At 39.9% G+C, this 19698-nt stretch overlaps 1 protein-coding gene across 3 annotated transcripts in view; it reads right to left on the reverse strand.

Annotated features, from left to right (window-relative positions):
* GADL1 (glutamate decarboxylase like 1) overlaps positions 1-19698 on the reverse strand; it is a 168465-nt gene that overhangs the window by 62324 nt on the left and 86443 nt on the right. For all 3 annotated transcript variants that reach the window (NM_207359.3, XM_017006297.2, XM_047448071.1), the window contains exon 12: positions 12369-12568. In NM_207359.3, coding sequence (NP_997242.2) covers positions 12369-12568 — 200 coding nt within the window. The remainder of the gene's footprint in view (positions 1-12368; positions 12569-19698) is intronic.

The following is a 19698-nucleotide window of genomic DNA, read 5'->3' on the forward strand; positions in this document are numbered from 1 at the left end:
GAAGGTCGGGGTGGCTGGGACAATTTCTTACAATAAGGCAACAATGAAGTTTGCCACATTGCCTGACTCTGCTTTCACAAAAGATTTCTCTGTAGTAGGCAATGCTGTTTGAAAGCATCTTACCCACAACAGAACTTCTTTCAAAATTAGTCAATCCTTTCAAACCTTGCTGCTGCTTTGCCAACTAAGTTTATGTAATATTCTATATCCTTTGTTATCCTTTCAACAATATTCACAACATGCTCACTGAGTAGATTTCTTCTCATGAAACCACTTTCTTTGCTCATCCATAGGAAGAGGCTCCTCATCCATTCAAGTTTTATCATGAGACTGCAGCAATTCAGTCACATCTTTGGGCTTCATTTCTAATTCTATTTCTCTTGCTGTTTTCACCACATCTTCAGTGACTTCCTTCCCTGAAGTCTTATACCCCTAAAAGTCAACCATGAGAGTTGGAATTAACTTATTCTAAATCCCCATTATTAGTATTTTGAGCTCCTATGAGTCATCAGTGTTTTCAGTGGTGTATAAAAGGGTAAACCCATAAAATTTTCAATTCACTTTGCCCAGATCTATCAGAGGAATCACTGATATCACGGCTATAGCCTTACAAAACACATTTCTTAAATAAGACTTGAAAGTCTAAATTACTCCTTGATCCATGAGCTGTAAAATGAATGTTGTGTTAGCAAGCATGGAAACAATATTAATCTCCTTGTACATCTCCATCAGAGCTCTTGAGTTACTAGGTGCGTTGTCAATGAGCAGTAATATTTTGAAAAGAATCTTTTTTTCTGAGCAGTAAGTCTCAAGTCTCAACAGTGGGCTTCAAATATTCAGTAAACCATGCCATAAAGAGATGTGCTGTCACAGGCTTTGTTCCACTTAGAGTACAGGCAGAGTAAGTTTAGCGTAAATCTGAAGAGTCTTAGAATTTTCAGAATGGTAAATGAGCATTGACTTCAACCTAAAGTCACCAGCTGCATTAGCTCCTAACAATAGATTCAGCCTGTCTTTGAAGCTTTGAAGACGGGCATTGACTTCCCTCTGGTCATGAAACTCATAGGTGGCAGCTTCTTCCAATATAAGACTGATTTGCCTACATTGAAAACCTGTTTAATGTAGCCACATTCTTCAGTGATCTTAGCTAGATCTTCAGCATAACTTGCTCAGTTTCTCCATGAGCATTTGCTGCTTCAACTTGCACTTTTATGTTATGAGACAGCTTCTGCACTCGAACCTCATGAACCAACCTCTGCTAGCTTCCAACTTTCCTTATTCATCTTCCACACCTCTCTCAGCCTTCATAGAACTGGAGAAAGTTAGGGTCTTGCTCTGAATTGGGCTTTGGCTTAAGGCAATGTCATGCCTGCTTTGATCTATCCAGAACTCTACAACCTTCATAGCAGCAATAAAGTTGTTTCGCTTTCTTATTATTCATGTATTCACTAAAGTAGAACCTCTAATTTCCCTCAAGAACTTTTCCTTTGCATTCATAACTTGGCTATTTGGCAAAAGAGGCCTAACTTTGTCTGTCTTGGCTTTTGGCATGCCATCCTCACTAAGCTTTAACCATTTCTAGATTATTTGAAGTGACAGACATGTGACTCTTCCTTTCATTTGAACACTCAGGCCATTGTAGAGTTATTAGTTGGCCTAATTTTGATATTGCTGTGTCTCAGGAAATTGGAAAGCCTGAAGAGGAGAGAGATGGGAATGGCCAGTTGGACAGCAGTCAGAACACACTCAATATTAAGTTTTCCAGCTTCTATGGGTGCATTCTATGGAGCCCCAGAACAATTTACAACAGTAACATCAAACAGAACTGATGACTCAAACATTTTTATTATGAGAATTACCAAAACATAACACAGACATATGAAGTGAGCACATGCTGTTGGGAAAATGGCACTTGATAGACTTGCTCCATGCAGGATTACCACAAGCCCTCAATTTGTAAAAACAACAAAACCCCCAAAACACAATATCTGGAAAATAAGGTTAAGCACATAAAATGAAGTATTTCCTGTATTAACCATGTTTCCCAATGATACCAGAAATAAATTTTAGAGTGACAACATCCAGTGGTGGTAAGAATATGATAGAAAGTTGCTATAAACCTTTTAAGTAATACTCATATCTTATCAAGCAAACCAGTTTTGAAATGCTGGTCTACAAAGAAAAAAGTTATCAATATCAAGGATAGATATAACAGCATATATGTGCACATATATTTATATGTACTATCTAAATGTCTGTACTGTGGGTATATAGGTATATTCCATACAAAATAACTAGAAACAAGATTAATATTCATAAGTAGGGAATTAAAATGCGGACTATAGCAACATAATGTAATATGCAGCTATTAAAATGAATGAATTATATCCACTTAAAGCACAGGATGATCATGATAAATTAGTAAAAGATAAAAGTGAGGTTCTGAGAAATGGGGATGATTTGATTCAATTTTTACACTTTTTTTTTTTAAATCTCTATCCACATGTATATACAAAGTATGGAAGGATACGTCATAAATTGTTTACCTGAGGGAGGGGGAAACAAGATGCAATGAGGGTGTGTGGTTTTCCATTCCCTTTTTATATCTCCTTTCAAAGTTTCATACATGTGGTTACTTATATAGTTTTTGAAAAAGAACTTAAAAATACAAAACAAATAGATGAATATACTTCCTACCTATAGGAGAAAAGCTTTGTGAACCATCCTTTTTCTCCCTTTTCAGGCACAAATGTACTGGCAATCTGTTAACTCAAAAGCTTGTTATGATTTCATCCTGAACTGAGCCTATGAAGAAAGCTTTCTCCAGAAATCTTGGGAATAACTTTAGAAGATTCTAATTGTGCAGCTAAATAACTTTGTGAGTCTAGGCAAATTCCTAAGCCTTCCTGAGCCTGCCTCCACTTCCTCATGCACGTAAAGATGTACAAAAAAATTGGTAAAATCCTTCCCTTACAAGTTATGGCTACACAAAACTTGCATGTATTAACCATAGTATCATTTTAAAATGCTTGTCAAACTGGCTAAATGTGCTCCTAGAGGAAAGGCATCCTAAAACAGAGCTGAATTATTTCTGTTAAAACTCTTTTTGCTAACCATGTAGATCTGGGCTTTGTGTTGGGGTAATGTTCCTATCGCAGTCACTTTCAGAGCCTGTAAAGCCCAGTGATATGGTTTGGCTGTGTCCTCACTCAAACGTCATCTTGAATTGTAGCTCCCATAATCCCCATGGGTCATGGGAGGGACCTGGTAGGAGGTAATTGAATCATGTGGGTGGGTTTTCTCATGCTGTTTTCATGACAGTGAATAAGTCTCTCAGGATCTGATGGTTTAATAAAGGGCAGTTCCCCTGCAGATGCTCTTACCTGCTGCCATGTAAGATGTGCCTTTGCTCCCCTTTCACCTTCTGCCATGATTGTGAGGCCTCCCCAGCCACATGGAACTGTGAGCCCACTGAACCTCTTTTTCTTTATAAATTGCCCAGTCTCAGGTATGTCTTTACTAGCAGCATGAGAACGGACTGATACACCCAGTGTAACACTCCAGCTGAGTTGAAAGTAGAGGTGATTTTGAGGCAAGAGGAGATGCAGCTATTACTATAACAAAGGTCTTACACCAGAGTTTTCAAACTGTGATCCGTGGTATACCACCTTAATAGGTTTTCCACATAAAAAGTCCCACTATCAAATAAGTTTGAACACTGCTAGGCATATCAATTAGATTGATTTTTGTCTATGCTTAGAAGTACACTTGGCCAGGCATGGTGGCTTATGCCTATAATCCTAGCACTGTGGGAGGCTGAGGTGGGCAGATTGTTTGAGTCCAGGAGTTCAAGACCAGCCTGGGCAACATGGTGAAACCCCATCTCTACAAAGAATACAAAAATTAGCCGGGTGTAGAAGTGTACATCCGTGGTCCCAGCTACTCAGGAGGCTGAGGTAGGAAGGAGGATCACTTGAGCCTGGGAGGTGGAGGTTGCAGTGAACCATAATTGTACCACTGCACTCTAGCCTAGGTGACAGAGCAAGATCTTCTCCAACAGAAAACTATACTTGCCTTAATTCATAAGGCCATTTGTCAAGCTGGTTGGATTGTTCAATAATATCAGGAACCAGTTATTTAATTTCAGCTAGCCATGCTCTGTGTTAGGGAGGTTTCCTCTCATGTTCACAAGACAGCTGCTACAGCTCCATATGTCCCATCCTTATACAGCAGTGTCCGAAGAGCAGAGGGGGCTATAGCAAAAGCACTTTAAGTTCTATTTAGGTAAGAATATTTTCCCCAGAAGTCTTCACAGTATCTTGTTGACTGAGCCACATACCCTCCCCTAAACTAATAATTGGGGAAGATGGCTGACTAAACCAATGTTCCCAGATTGAACATTGCTACGTGAACAAAATCAAGGTTCTACAGGCAAGAGAGAATGGTCCTTGGTGAGCAAATCAACAGTGTCTGCATATTGATTAAAGTTAAAAAATGCTTCTATATTACAGGCCCTCTCAAAGTTTTAAATATCCTAATGAGTACTTCGAATCTCTAGGAGAGGAATAATATAGTAGTTAGCATCTCCCAGACACATTTAACCATGGAACTATTTTTTGAGGGATGATCTATTAAGATCTCTTGGAAGTCTACTGGCCACAGCATACTTTCACAAATGCTGGTTTATAAGTGTTTCTACTAAAAAGTACCCTATCCTCTTCTTAAATAAATGCTTAAATGAAATGTGTTGTTGGAAGGAAAGCCAAAATGTTTTAAGTCACCTCTGCTTATGTTTCTAGGGATGACTTATTCCTCGTAACTTTTTTTTCAATATATGAAAACAGCCTAAAGACAAAATACATTTAATAAACTAATCTTATACATGGTGCAAGCCGGAAAAAAAGTACGTTCAGTTTGGGGACATAATGCAGAAACCATAAACTACTATCAAAAGGCATTCAAGTAAGTGGACTCGAAAAGCAGTAATAACTTCATGAAACTCTTTGTCCTTTCCACTAACCTTGGCATAAAAGAGAGAAAAAAATACATATTGAGTTTTCACCAATCCTACTGTGGGGTAAGAACATATTAGTATTCTGGCTTGATCTTGGCATATGCATTAATGATAAACTTGCTGCAAAACAATTTTTCTTCCTTACAAAGAATCTCAGTTCTGATTGGGTTATATAAATCTCCCCCTTTGTTTTTATTTTTCTTGTCCTTTTGCAAGACATTCTTTCCTCTCTGCAAATAGCCTCTCCAGTCCCTTTCTTACTTCAGCAGCCGCTTAGCGCCTCCCTGAACCATTTTGGACCAAGTTTCTCTCCTAGTCTCATCTTCTCATTTGAAATCTCTTCTGATGCATTGAGCCTCCCAGAACTCCTGAGATTTTTCCATCTGCTTTCCGTATGCTCTGCATAGATCAGCACATGTCACATGACTTGTGGAATTCATCACAGACACCCACGTGCTCTATTCTACTGTAATTGTAACTTTTAAAAAGATCACCAATATAAAGATAAAATGAAAACAAAGACTGTTCCCTAGTCTTCCAGACTCTGTACCTCCCATCACCTAGAGAAATACACTGGCACAAAAGCACCATTGTGTAACTGCTCACCTTTTCCATACTGATAACAATACACCCCTCGGTATCCATGCAAGTCTATGAAATGATTTCCATTTGAGAGATTGCAGAGATTGTGTGTCAAGGGAATAGATAGATAAATGATACTCTGGAGACCAAACAAAGTAGCAGAGTGGGAGTTCCTGAGCTGTTTGTTGTTGAAAAGACTTAGACATGACTCTTCTAGCCTGCTTGAAAAATCCCTTAGTGGATATCCATTTAACCTGAATGCCATAACAAAGGCCTAGAAGGTGCCCTCAGCAACAGGTAACCTTGTATAGTAAAACATTTTTTACTTTCCTAGGCAGATATCAGAAATGTACAGTCACTGGCTTTGTGCCATAGTGGTAGTTTTAAACCTGAGCCCCCTGGGTTTCAATTATGCCCAGTAATCACATGTTGCTTTAGGCTCTCAGTGTCACTGATTTTCGAACCAAAGAAAAACAAAAGCATTTTAGTAATTAATATTTTCTGGGAGAAATGTTCTCTCTTCAATTGGGTTGACAGGGTCAAATGGAAATTAGGAAAAGCCTTAGAGGTCTCCTAGGCACTAAATTTTTCCTTGCTAAATTTCTGACAACCCATAAAATTGGAATCATTGTCCTCCTGAAAGTGTCTGCTCTTACTTTCCCAGGGGAATATGAAGAGGGCTATCTGATCGGTGCAGTGATCATTGGTCTATCAAAATCTCATCCTTAAATCTTAGTCAATATAAAAACTTCAAAGTTAAGCTCCATTTAGATTCAGGAACATGGAAACATTATTTCTATGGAATCAGTGTAATTCTTCCTGTATCATTATCAAAGGAAAAGAGTTGCACAGCTTTTCCAGTATTTTAGAGACCTGACCCTAGGGCCTAGGGAAGTGGATATTTTAGCTATAAGAGCCTGCCAATAACGTGCTCCTCAAATACTAAAACAATCATCACGTGCAGCTTTACTTTGCTGGAGTTATCTACTGAAAGAAGTTACGCTTCTTGGAAACAAAACAATGTTTCTGTAACTTAGAATTATTCCAGGTGGAGCCTTCCAACCATGGGTGAAATGCTTTTGATTTGGTAAACTCTGAAGCAAGTTGCTGGGCATCAGTGGGCTTCATGGGAAATATCTTGACCCTGTCGGTGGTTTGAACAGATTATGCTACTTCACATTATGCACATGGTTAGAAGACTGAAAGAGTTACGATTATAGCTGGAAGAGTTAAGATTATGACTCACAGAACCAGTGGTGTTCTAGAGCTACTTTGTAGTGGTTGAGAGTCCACTGTTAAATATTCAGGAATTTCCTCAACTACAACCATTGGTAGCTTGCAATTTGCTATGACAGAAATATTTACACCATGAAAATTGGCAGACACTACAAACTGGGGCTTTCTTTAACTTCTGAAAGAAAATTTACTGCCATACCACTGCATATAGGCTTAAGCAAACAGAATAGACCCCAGAATTGAGAAAAATATTCTATCTTTCCTAAAAAGCAGAACTACAAATGAATCAGTAATTTGAAAAGAAAGAAATCATGAAAATAAAGCCCTTCTGTTGCTAATTTACTATAAATCTTAATTCTAGAGAAACTCTTTCCAAGTTTTATAATTTCACATTCATACCAAATTACATGCCTCAAAGTACTCTGCCCTTTTCCTTGGCATTGGAGGTAGACTTTTGCCCACCCCAGGAATAGACTGTTGGATATCAAGAGTGTGGAAAGTTAAGGCAAAAAAACTATTATGAGTAACAGCAGGAAAGAGGAGGGATTATTTTTCAAATACTTAAACATAGGTCACAGTCTGCAGCAATGCTCACTAAAATGTTAATTCAATTCAACTTGACAAACATTTACAAACAATAAGTGTTTGTTGAATTGAATTGAAATGTTAACATTTATCCTCCTGTGATATTTCTCTGCAGAAATTAGAAAGTATTCTTAGACTGTAAACTAAATTCCACCCTGAGATGAATGTTAACTTTATAATAAATACAATCATAAAATATCTATAACCTTATTTCAAGACACCTCCCATTGAATTATTTCAAAGCTTAGACAAAATAATGCAGAGATTCTACCCCATTTAAATAGTGCAAGAAAATCCACAAAAAGGGAACAGAGCTTCCTGGACTTCTAATTTAGTGAGCAGCTATAAATAATTTATGGTAGACCGTAGACTGTCTTGTTTTTTCACCACTGGGTTATCTCCCCACTTCTAATAGAAGCACTTCAACCCTATCTCTAACAAAGGTACCTTCATCTAGGATCAGTACACATTCTATAAGAAGAATTGACACACTCCCCAGTGCCGAGAGAGAGCAGGTGAATCATCGTTACTACTGAGAGCATCACATTGCCCTGGAAACCATGACTGATTCAGAGATGGATATTTACTTCACTCTCAAATAATTAAACTTTCCTCGGGATTGTTGAGAGAGGAGTACTTTATCTTTTTGATCTTAAACTTGAACCCGAAAGAATATAGATCTGACACTCTTTGCATCCATCTTCCTCCATAGGAATAAACCCAACCTGAAGGAAAGCAGAACTGAAAGATGCAGAGAGACTGAGGACTGCTGATACTGTTGAAGCACCTAGACCAAGCCTTCTGAAAGTCATCACTACACTAGTCTTAAAAGCCTTAAATTACCTTTGTTTATAATACCTTGAGTTAATGTTTCCATCGCTTACTACCGAGAGTCCTCATATAGTATTCACAGGTTTTTCAAACTACTTCATACCCATAATCACCAGAATTACTGACTTCTAAAAGTCTTCTGAAAATGCCAAAGCCATGTGTTTACCTGTCCTTATATCCAAGCCCTTTGCTATGTAACTTTGCAATTCTTCCTGCTAAAAGGCAGAGGGCACTTCCCACCTCCTCACATTGGGTTTAGCCATATGATTTTCTTTGACCAAAGGAGTATTATAACGCAATCAGCTACAGATATAATACAATCAGGAGTTTAAAGTGGGCTTACATAATTGGTTTGCCTTCTTGGCCTTCTGTCATGGCCATCTCAAGAATGCGCTGGCTAGTATGCTGATCAAGGAATATGAAAGACGTGGCGAGTAGACTCAAACACCCCAGCTGCTGTGATATGATATAAAGTATAAAGTCATGCTAGCCAACATTTAGACCTCTAGGGGGAAAACAATTGTTGTTTTAACACATTCAGACAGCTTGTTGCTCAGAATACCCACACTACTCCCAGTATAGAAAGAAGAAATTGCTATAAATCTCTAAGAAGGTCCTACATGATTTTCCAAGCAGTTAAGTAAATAATAACTAAAACTTAAATAGCATGTAGGACATCCCAGGCATTGATCTAAGTGTTCTACATGTATCAATTCCTTTAATCTTTACAGTAACTGTTTGAGATACGTGTTATTATCACTTTCCTGGGACAAAACTGAGGTGCAGAGAGACTAAGAAACTTGCCCCAGTCACACAGGATTTAGGTCTTGAATCCAGGTTGTCTGTACCTCTATGCTATTAGGCTAGATTTGTTTTTTGCGTTTTGTTTTGTTTTGTTTTTGTTTTTTTTTTGTTTTTTAAACTGTAAGAAATGATAGGGACTGTGTTTTTCCAGAGTCAGGCATCATCATGTTCAGCTAGTTGTTACCATGTGGGATTGAGAGCATTCTAAGCTTTGAGAAAAGCAAAAAATCCAGGTTTTTTATAAATTTATTTTTTTAAAAGCATTTCAAATATTGAAATGTTTGAATGTTTAACACCATGAAAGTTAACCTTGAACAGTATAAGCTCAACAAAACACATTTAAAACTAAATTTGGCTATGGCCTGTCCACCACTGATCTAAGTTTAGCAGTTCAGTCCTATTCAAGTAGCAATGTCTGGCACCTATATCTTGAGCTTTTCTAATGTTCTTGAAAGTGTGACAACAATTTTATTTCTAATGTTTACTACAAGGCAAGTAAACATGGTGCTTCCACACTGCCTTTCCCTTCGAGACTTAAGCTGCCGCCACAACTCACAGATCATTTGCTTTTCAGGTCCTTAATGTCACATCCAGACTTTTGTGTCACCTCACATCCAGAGACTTGGGCCTGCTGCTCCTTCCACTTGGGTCATTCTTCTCCCCTTCTGTTTTAGTCTGTTTTCACGCTGCTGATAAAGACATACCCGAGACTGGGAAGAAAAAGGTTTAATTGAACTTATAGTTCCACAGTTCCCTGAGGCTGGAGGAGGCCTCAGAATCATGGTGGGAGGCAAAAGGCACTTCTTACGTGGAAGTGGCAAGAGAAAAAGAAACGCAAAAGCAGAAACCCCTGATAAAACCATCAGAGCTTGTGAGACTTATGCACTACCATGACAGCAGTATGGGGGAAACCACCCCCATGATTCATATTATCTCCCACTGCGTCCCGCCCACAACATCTGGGAATTATGGGAGTAGAATTCAAGATGAGATTTGGGTGAGGACACAGAGCCAAACTATGTCATTCTGCCCCTTGCCCCTCCAAATCTCACGTGCTCACATTTCAAAACCAATCACACCTTCCCAACAGTCCCCTAAAGTCTTAACTCATTCTAGCATTAACCCAAAAGTCCACAGTCCAAGGTTTCATCTGAGACAAGGCAAGTCTCTTCTGCCTACGAACCTGTAAGGTCAAAAGCAGGCTAGTAACTTCCTAGATACAATGGGGATACAGATATTGGGTAAATACAGCCATTCCAAATGGGAGAAATTGGTCAAAACAAAGGGGTTACAGGACCCATGCAAGTCTGAATTCCAGCAGGGCAGTCAAATTCTAAAGTTCCAAAATGATCTCCTTTGACTCCATGTCTCATATCTGGGTCACGCTGATGCAAGAGGTGGGTTCCCATAGCCTTTGGCAGCTCCACCCCTGTGGCTTTGCAGGGTATAGCCCCCATCATGGCTGCTTTCACATGCTGGCACACAGTGTAAGCTGTCAGTGGACCTACCATTCTGGGGTCTGGAAGATGGTGGCCTTTGTCTCATAGCTCCACTAGGCAGTGCCCCAGTAGGGACTCTGTGTGGGGGCTCTGACCCCACATTTCCCTTCCACACTGCCCTAGCAGAGGGTCTCCATGAGGGCCCCCTCCCCTGCAGCAAACTTTTATCTGGGCATCCAGGGGTTTCCATACCTCTTCTGAAATTTAGGTGGAGGTTCCCAAACCTCAATTCTTGACTTGTGTGCCCACATGCTCAACACCACATGGAAGCTGCTAAGGTTTGGGGCTTGCACCCTCTGAAACCATGGGCTGAGCTGCACCTTGGCCCCTTTTAGCAATGGCTGGAGCAGCTGGGATGCAGGGCACCAAGTCTGTAGGCTGCACACAGCTTGGGGACCCTGTGTGTCCCCAGGCCCATGAAATCATTTATTCCTCCTAGGCTTCTGGGTCTGATGGGAGGGACTGCCATGAAGACCTATGACATGCCCTGGAGACATTTTCCCTATTGTCTTGAGGATTATCATTCAGCTCCTTGTTACTTAGGCAAATTTCTGCAGCTAGCTTGAATTTCTCCTCAAAAAATGGGTTTTTTCTACTGCATCGTCAGGCTGAAAATTTTCTGAACTTTGATGCTGTTTCCCTTTTAAAAGGGAATGCTTTTAATGGCATCCAAGTCACCTCTTGAATGCTTTGCTGCTTAAAAATTTCTTCCATCAGATACCATAAATCATCTCTCTCAAGTTCAAAGTTCCACAAATCTCTAGGACAGGGGCAAAATGCCGCCAGTCTGTTTGCTAAAACGTAACAAGAGTCAACTTTGCTCCAGTTCCCAACAAGTTCCTCATCTCCATCTGAGACTACCTCAGCCTGGACCTTATTGTTCGTATCACTATCAGCATTTTTGTCAAAGCCATTCAACAAGTCTCTAGGAAGTTCTGAATTTTCCTGTCTTCTTCTGAGCCCTTCAAACTATTTCAACCTCTGCCTGTTACCCAGTTCCAAAGTCGCTTCCACATTTTTGGGTATCTTTTCAGCAGCACCCCATTCTACTGGTACTAATTTACCATATTAGTCTGTTTTCATGCTGCTGATAAATACATACCCAAGACTGGGAAGAAAAAGGTTTAATTGGACTTACAGTTCCACATGGCTGGGGAGGCCTCAATTCATGGCGGAAGCCGAAAGGCACTTCTTGCATGGCAGCAGCAAGAGAAAACGAGGAAGAATGCAAAAGTAGAAACCCCTGATAAAACCATCAGATCTTGTGAGACTTATTCACTATCAGTGCAGTATGGGGAAAATAGCCCCCATAATTCAAATTATTTCCCACCAGGTCCCTCCCACAACACCTGGGAATTACGGGAATACAATTCAAGATGAGATCTGGGTGGGGACACAGAGTCAAACAATACCACCTTCTCTTCATTAGATCTCAGTTGAAAGTCACTTCCTCCAAGGAGCCTCTGCCAGTGTGCCTCAAGAACACACTAGAGAAGCCCTCCTGATTGATCTTGGACTCTATACCTCACCTTGCCAAAAATGAGGGTCATTTGTGCATCTCAGTAGGCTAGGATCTTGGAGGGAGGTGATAGGACTGCTCTGTTCATAATTCCTAACACTTAGTAGGTACTGAGAAAATGTGTATTGGATGAAATAATGCACAAATGAAAACATGTACTTGCAACACATTTCAAGTATTACTTTCCTTAGGTCTTCCTATTACAGACACAGATAGACACACACACACACACACACACACACACACACACACACACACACAGAAAGAGAGAGAGAGAGAGAGAGAGAGAGGCTAGTACCTAGATAAAGCAAGAGCACGATTAACTCTTTCTTCAAGGCCTAATGTACCCAGGGCCTTCCAGGTCATCCAGAACTTGAATGCATCTGGTCTTCTGCTACACTGGATAGACTTGTCTCCTGTGTCATAGCTCACATCATAGAATTTATCCTGCTGGAAGAGGTAAGATGCCTTGGCAGAGTAGCATTTTTTAAGAAGATCCTTCGAAAAAGAAAAGATTACAAGACTGTTAAACTTTAGAATATAACTTGATTTTGAAAGCAAACACATGTACACACACAATGTGTATATTCTACCTGTGCCAAGTGTACATCTCACTTTGACTGCCTTACATCAGACACAATCAGTGTACATTGACTTTCAGATACACATTACCCATGGTGTTACCAAACAAAACTTCAGAGTTGACAATGCTAAAATCCATCTTCACAATTTTACTGAGTATTGAGAAGCTGAGAAGACCATGTCATTATCATTATGACATCAAGGTGGCCCAGTTTTTCAGTGTGAATAAAACTGTCTATAACTCAAAGTGCTCTCCATTGGCCAGAAAAAAAAAACTGACATATTTACATATGTTATACAATTTCATAAGCAAAAAAACTAGGTTTTAAGACCTTCTCTCCTTCATATTCATTTGAAAAGGCTAGACCCAACATAACTCAGGGATAAAAACCCAGTGAAAGAGCTATGGAAGAGGTAAACAAGAGCCAACAAGTTTTCACTACCACAGAACATCAGCTATAATCCCACAGGGCCTTTTGTGTTTGTCTCATGCTGGTTTTATTTGCAACCAAATTCCATTTGCATTTACTGACTTGTTATCATTAAGAAATGGGTGATAATTTACTATTCATCACGATTATAGGGCCTTTGCCTCGACCTCAAATCATTAAAGTTGAAGCCATGTTGTCTTCAATGTCATCTAGTGTCTACAAAAGCCAAGATTTCCTAATCAATCATTTACAGCCCTGACAACTCCCCCAAAATATTTTAGATCCTTATGCTCCTCAGTGGAGCCAATGTACTCAATGTCCTTGAACCACTACATCCTGTCTCATCTATGTCTTGTCTTATACCATTTGCTTGAATCTAACTCTCTATTTTATTATGATACTTGACACTTTCAAAAGAATATATGCAGTCTACTTATAAGCTGCGAAGTTTACTGACACTAAACATAGCCTGCCTTCTTTCCCAGGTCTGCCCTGCTATCAGGTCCCATCTCAACTTTTTCTTCCCCTTCAGCTTCATCTGCCCATCTCCTTGGGCTCAAAGGAGTAACTGGTATTTGGCTGCATTTGTTGGCCTTGGTCCTGTGCTTTCCGCATGCAATGAGCAGTCACTACCTATATTCTCTCCTTGTGTGGTCAAGCAGGTTCTTGGGAGCAGGAATCATTTCCTATCCATTGTTACATCCATGCAGTTTAACACTGTGCTGGGCACAGAGCACTCTCATTAAGCTATCAAGACAATGATTCCACTCTCAATGCCCTGACATGTGGTATGAATAGAATAAACACAGTTGGATGAGCTTCTCATTTGGTGAATTTTCCAAACTTTAACAATGCAAAACTACTAGTGCTGTACAGGAAGCTACAAAAAAGCTTCTCAGTAGACATGGCGGTCCTAGAAAATGTTTCCTTCTGATCAGAGAATGTATTAAATGTGCTTCATTTGACTAATCAGCTTGTGCTAATTAGCTGAATGAAAAGGAAATCTCAAGATATCACATTTCAAATGAAAGCATAAGTTTGCTGACTTAATGTAAGCAACATTGTCTTGTGTAGATACTACTCTGGATCTAAATATATTCTATTACAAAAAAGTATGATTTTATACTACAGAGAAATTATATACCAAATATAACCAAGAATTACAATATGCCCCTCATCCAGTATCCACAATAAACTGAGTATAAAACTGATAAGGCTGGGCACTGTGGCTCACACCTGTAATCCCAACGCTTTGGAGGGCTGAGGCAAGAGGATCACCTGAGGCCAGCCGTTTGATACAAGCCTGGGCAACATAGTGAGACCCCATCTCTACAAACATAAAAATTAGTTGGGCATGGTGGCATGTGCCTGTGGTTGTGGCGTATGCCTGAAGTGGGAAGATCACTTGAGCCCATGAGGTCGAAGCTGCAGTGAGCTGTGAGCACACCACAGCTCACCAGCCTACGCAACACAGTGGGACCCTGTCTCTAGAATAATAAGAAAAATAAATATTAGTATGCCTTCAGCCTGGTTCTGATGGGTATTCTTGAGAGATACAGGGAAAGAGCAGATTGCTCTGACCTGAACACTAAAGTAGAAAAATCCCTTACTTTTAAGTCTTAGATTTTATCATCAATATCTCTCCTCTGATCACAGTTGCCACTGCTGCATCTCCCTGCCCTCAAAAGTCAGGAAATTTGGTTGTTTCCATAGCAACTACACTGACCATATATTATAACACTAAAAGGCCACTGCATGTACTTTAAGGACAAATCATGCACACATGTTCACGACACAGGCACACACACTTGCATTATGATTATAAATTTACTGTCACCAACCATGAAAGATTAAAAATCCCCAAAGCAAACGAACTTTGGACATTTCTTGAGCAAGTTTTAGGGGCCTATGGTAGTGATTGAAAGGGAGAGGACGCTCATCCATTATCAGAAGACAAATTGTATCATCATAAGCAAGTGGAGAACAAGAGAGCCAAGAAAGCAAATAGCAGAATAAACAATTGTCCTGCAATAGTGACAGTTAATTTTATGGCACTAAAAAATTCTGCCTTGGGAAGGTTTCCTAAAGAACAACTGGAGGCTTGGGATTTACTTTATCAAAAATAAACTTTCCTCCCAAAGATTTCACTTTGCATTTTAGTTTATGTCCTTGTATTAAAATGGATGAGATGTCCTTTAGTTTTAAGACATCAACTAAGAGAAGATGCTCAGATGTCCAGAGAAAACATTTTAGAATAAGTATAGTAAAACGTAACATTGTTGAAAATAGTTATTATTGTGCTATCAAAGAGAAGCACCATATTTATCTTGCTCATCTTCATACTCTTAATCCTAGCAGGACAATAAATATTAGTAACATGGCTTTCAGAGACAAGTATCCAATGAAAAGACAAATTGCTTTATATTGATATTAATTCAACTCTCCTCAGCGGATTAGTAGACATTGTATTAGGACTTGTACAGTGGCAAATGAGGTTTAAGCAAAAGGAGGGAGTATTTTTATAGGCTTTTGTATATTTAAAAATCTAGTCATATATAATCTTCAGGCACAGTTGAATCCGGTACTAAGTAATATCCATCATCAGGAATATGTCCTTTCATCTTGTTCTATTGTAGCCTATATTGGCCTCACTCCCTACATATGGAAAGCTGGTAGGAAGCCTGAAAACCAAAGCTTCCAGGTAGAATCTGTGAGCATGGAGAGGAGGCTCTGTTTGAAGACAGGAAATGACAAAGAGACAACTTCTGCTGGTGGTGCTACTAACAAAGATTCTGTTTTTGACTAACATTTAGTTACTTAGTCTGCGTCCTCTAGGTCTCCACCTTGACATTTATCTTTCTGTAAATGCATCACCCTATTGTAGCAAGAATCTTGCTAGTCAGTTTGGAAAGAATCCCCCACCCCGATATCTCCCTTTATCTGACCAAATTCTTCATCCTTCTTACTTATCTGACTATTCTAGCCTGCCTTCAGCAAGAATCTTGTTAGATGTCTAACCTGTATCCTTTTATTTCTAATGTTTTCTTAGTCATTTTCCACCCACTGACTCCCAACCTGCCCCTTGGCTATGAATCCCTACTTGTCCATGCTATATTCAGAAGTGAATCCGGTTATACTGAGGTCTATCTTCCTCATTGCAGTAGTTCCTGAACAAAGTCTGTTTTTACTACTTTACTGTCTGGTTCTGGTTTTCTTTAACATTACCCATGTAGAGAGAGACTCTTGGCCTCCTAACCTCACTATCTTATATGAACCTTTTTGTGACCAAACCTAGCAGGAAGCCAATTGGCAAAAGAGCCTGGAGAATATGGCTTTTAGGAGTCTGGACCTTTTGCAGCGCAAAGCAGAGGAAATAAAGAATGGATTGGATTATACAGTAAAGAGAAGCCAATGACAAGCACAGAAACCACAACTTTTACTTTCCCTCTTTGCAATCACAACACCTAACCTAGCGCACATAATAATGACCAGAGCTAACATTTATTGAGCTCTTACTATTTTCCAGACACTTCATATGTAATAACTCACTTAAATTTCACAACCCAGTGAGATAAATTCTATTTTTGTCAACTCCATTGTACATTTTGCAACACAGCAAGTTAATTACCTAAGTTCATGTAGCTACTACATGATAGGGCTAGGTTTCAAACCAAAAATGCTTAGATTCAGGGCCTGAACGCTAACCTATTATACTTTATTGCATCAACAGTGGGCACTTAAATACGTGTGAAAGAGGGTGCTCCATTTGGAGAGGCTGGTGAAAAGGAAAATGGCAGAAGAGAGAACACTGAGCTAGAGGTCAAAATAACTAAGATCCTGTTTCAAACTCTTATTTTTTCCTATAAACATGACCTCTGGTCTTAGCACCAGTAATATCCTGTTTTTAAAGCATTTTGAGATCTTTATGAATACTTGTGAATCTGGTAACATTATGGAAAATATTCACTCATTATGTGAAAGAATGAATCCGTAGGTTGTATATTCTCCTGACCAAGATTAGCCAAGCCATCTTTGATTTCTATAGGCCAGATCAGAATCTGCGGTCTCTTTTTGGTCAGTGATCCCATGGGTCTACTAAGTCAGGATTCTGTGCACCAGCAGTCCCCAGCCTTTTTTTTTTTTTTTTTTTTTTTTGGGCACCAGGGACCAGTGCTCATGGGAGACAGTTTTTCCACAGATGTGGGGTGTGGTGTGGGGGAGATGGTTTCAGGAAGAAACAGTTCTACCTCAAATCAGGCATTAGAGTCTCATAAGAATCACGTGACCTAGATCCCTCTTACGCACGGTTCACAATAGTTTGCACTCCTATGAGAATCTAATGCCAAGACTGATCTTGCGGGAGGAGGAGCTCAGGTGGTAATGCTTGCTCACCTACCACTCACCTCCTGCTGTGTGGCCCGGTTCCTAACAGGCCATGAACCGGTACAGGTCTGTGGCCTGGGTGGGAGGATCCTTGCTGTCCACAACAACAAACCTTTGTATTTCCTCCTTGCAATGATGTTTTTCAGCTCATCAAAGAAAAGCTACCAAAAGCTCTTCCCGTATGGCCCTTCCTATATTCTGTCCTATGTCACCATATTTACATGCAAAAAAAATGGTCTAAATGACTTAGAAAATAGGAATATTAATCATCTTTTAATAATTCATCTAAAAATTATGTATTGAGGACCTATTATATAACAAGCACTATCATGCCAGGAGCCTCGGTATACAAGCCCATGAAGGTGCTAAGTGTCTGGGTTAATATTTGTTGGCGTAATGTGCAAAATCAAATTTAGGTTGCAAATAAAAGACTTGGCTGTAATCTAAAATATAAAAGTGAACTTTTAAAATGATTATGCCATCTGATATTGGCTTTCTTTATTGATCAAATATTTGGGTACCTTAATATAGGCTGAAAGCTGTGCTAAGCACTGGAGATGTAATGGTAAATAAAAAAGTCACCATCCTTAAGGCATTTCAGATGGGAATAGGAGCAGAAAAAACAAGCCACTACTGTCCAGTGCTAGAATAGGAGGAAGAACAAGGCACAACAGAGCACAAACGAGGGTCATATTCACCACCTTAGAGGTGTGAGAGATGGCTTTTCAGAAGAAGCTGAGAGCTGAAAAGTGAGGGACAGCTGGACAGATGAGAGAACAGAACTAATTGAGTACAACTGGAGCTAATTAAGGAGGTGGGCCATAGCTGGAGAGTTCAGGCTAGAAATCTAGAGTAGCCAAGTCACCACGCATCTTAAATGCCACAATAAGAATGATTAGTGATGGAATCTTCCAAGGCTCCTACAGATATTACAACTTAAAACTTCATTACTAATCTGGCAGAATAAAGTGAGAATCAGCAGATGTGAATTCTGCTTTTGATTTAGTTACTTGGTGTCAGAGCTCAAAGCCTGTCACTTAACATCTTGGGCTTCATTTTTCTCATTGGCCTAATGAAAATGCTGTTACTTGTTCTACCCATCATACATAAGTATTATGAAAATCAAAGGAACTAATGTTAACTGGGAATACTCTTTAGTCTTAAGCCAAAAATCTTACCCACCACTCTTCCTCTTCTCGAACATTCCAGTATCCCCTGACCCCTCCCAGCTGTCACTGCCTGTTCTTCCTTTGGTTTACTTTATTTCCCCAGGCAAGCTACAGAACAGAACATCAGCTCTAGACTTCCCCACTGTTTATGAAATGAACATATTACAACCCTCACCCACCTTCCTTTTTAATGGAATGTATTTGCCAGTTATACAGTTATAGAAGTAGGCTGAGTTGACGAAAATATTACAAGAAATCTTAAAGCAATAGGAAGTTATCAATGCTCTACATCCTTCAAATGGAATGGATCCTGACTTAATTAAGCTCCCATACTTGATGTCCTTGGTAGATGCTGTGGGTCTTTACAAGTCTCAGTGTAGTTTAAATGGAACACTCTAAAGGTATCACATAAAATAAGAATGACCCAGGGTAGGGATGCTAGGTGGACTTGAGAGCTAAGGAGCCATCAAATGGCCAGGTGTAACTTGAGTTTTCTCCAGTTTCCTTAAGCAAAGAGGGAAAAATGGTTAACTCCTGTGTAGTTGGTGTGGGGGATGGAAGAGAGTAAGCAGAGGACAATAGTGAATGTGCGGCCGGGTGCAGTAGTGGCTCATGCCTGTAATCCCAGCACTTTGGGAGGCTGAGTCGGGCAGATCACTGGAGGTCAGGAGTTTGAGAGCAGCCTGGCCAACATGGCGAAACACCATCTCTACTAAAAATACAAAAATCAGGCAGGTATGGTGGCACATGACTGTAGTCCCAGCTACTCGGGAGGCTGAGGCAGAAGAATCGTTTGAACCCGGGAGGTGGAGATTGCAGTGAGCCGAGATTGTGCCACTGCACTCCAGCCTGGGCAACAGAGAGAGACCCCTTCGGGGGGGAAATAAAAGTGTTTTTCCCAAAAGGAAGCAAATCAGACTGACCCATGTAAAAGGTCAGTGTATTAGGTTGGGCCATGAATAGTCTGAGAAGGAAGAAAAAGGAGGAGGGGAGGGAAAGAGCGAGGGAATGGCAGGGCAGAGAGGTGGAAAAAGGAAGAGAGAAGCAAAGGATGAACCGGCCG

Source organism: Homo sapiens, chromosome 3 (assembly GCF_000001405.40).
Source record: "Homo sapiens chromosome 3, GRCh38.p14 Primary Assembly".
Lineage (NCBI taxonomy): Eukaryota > Metazoa > Chordata > Mammalia > Primates > Hominidae > Homo > Homo sapiens.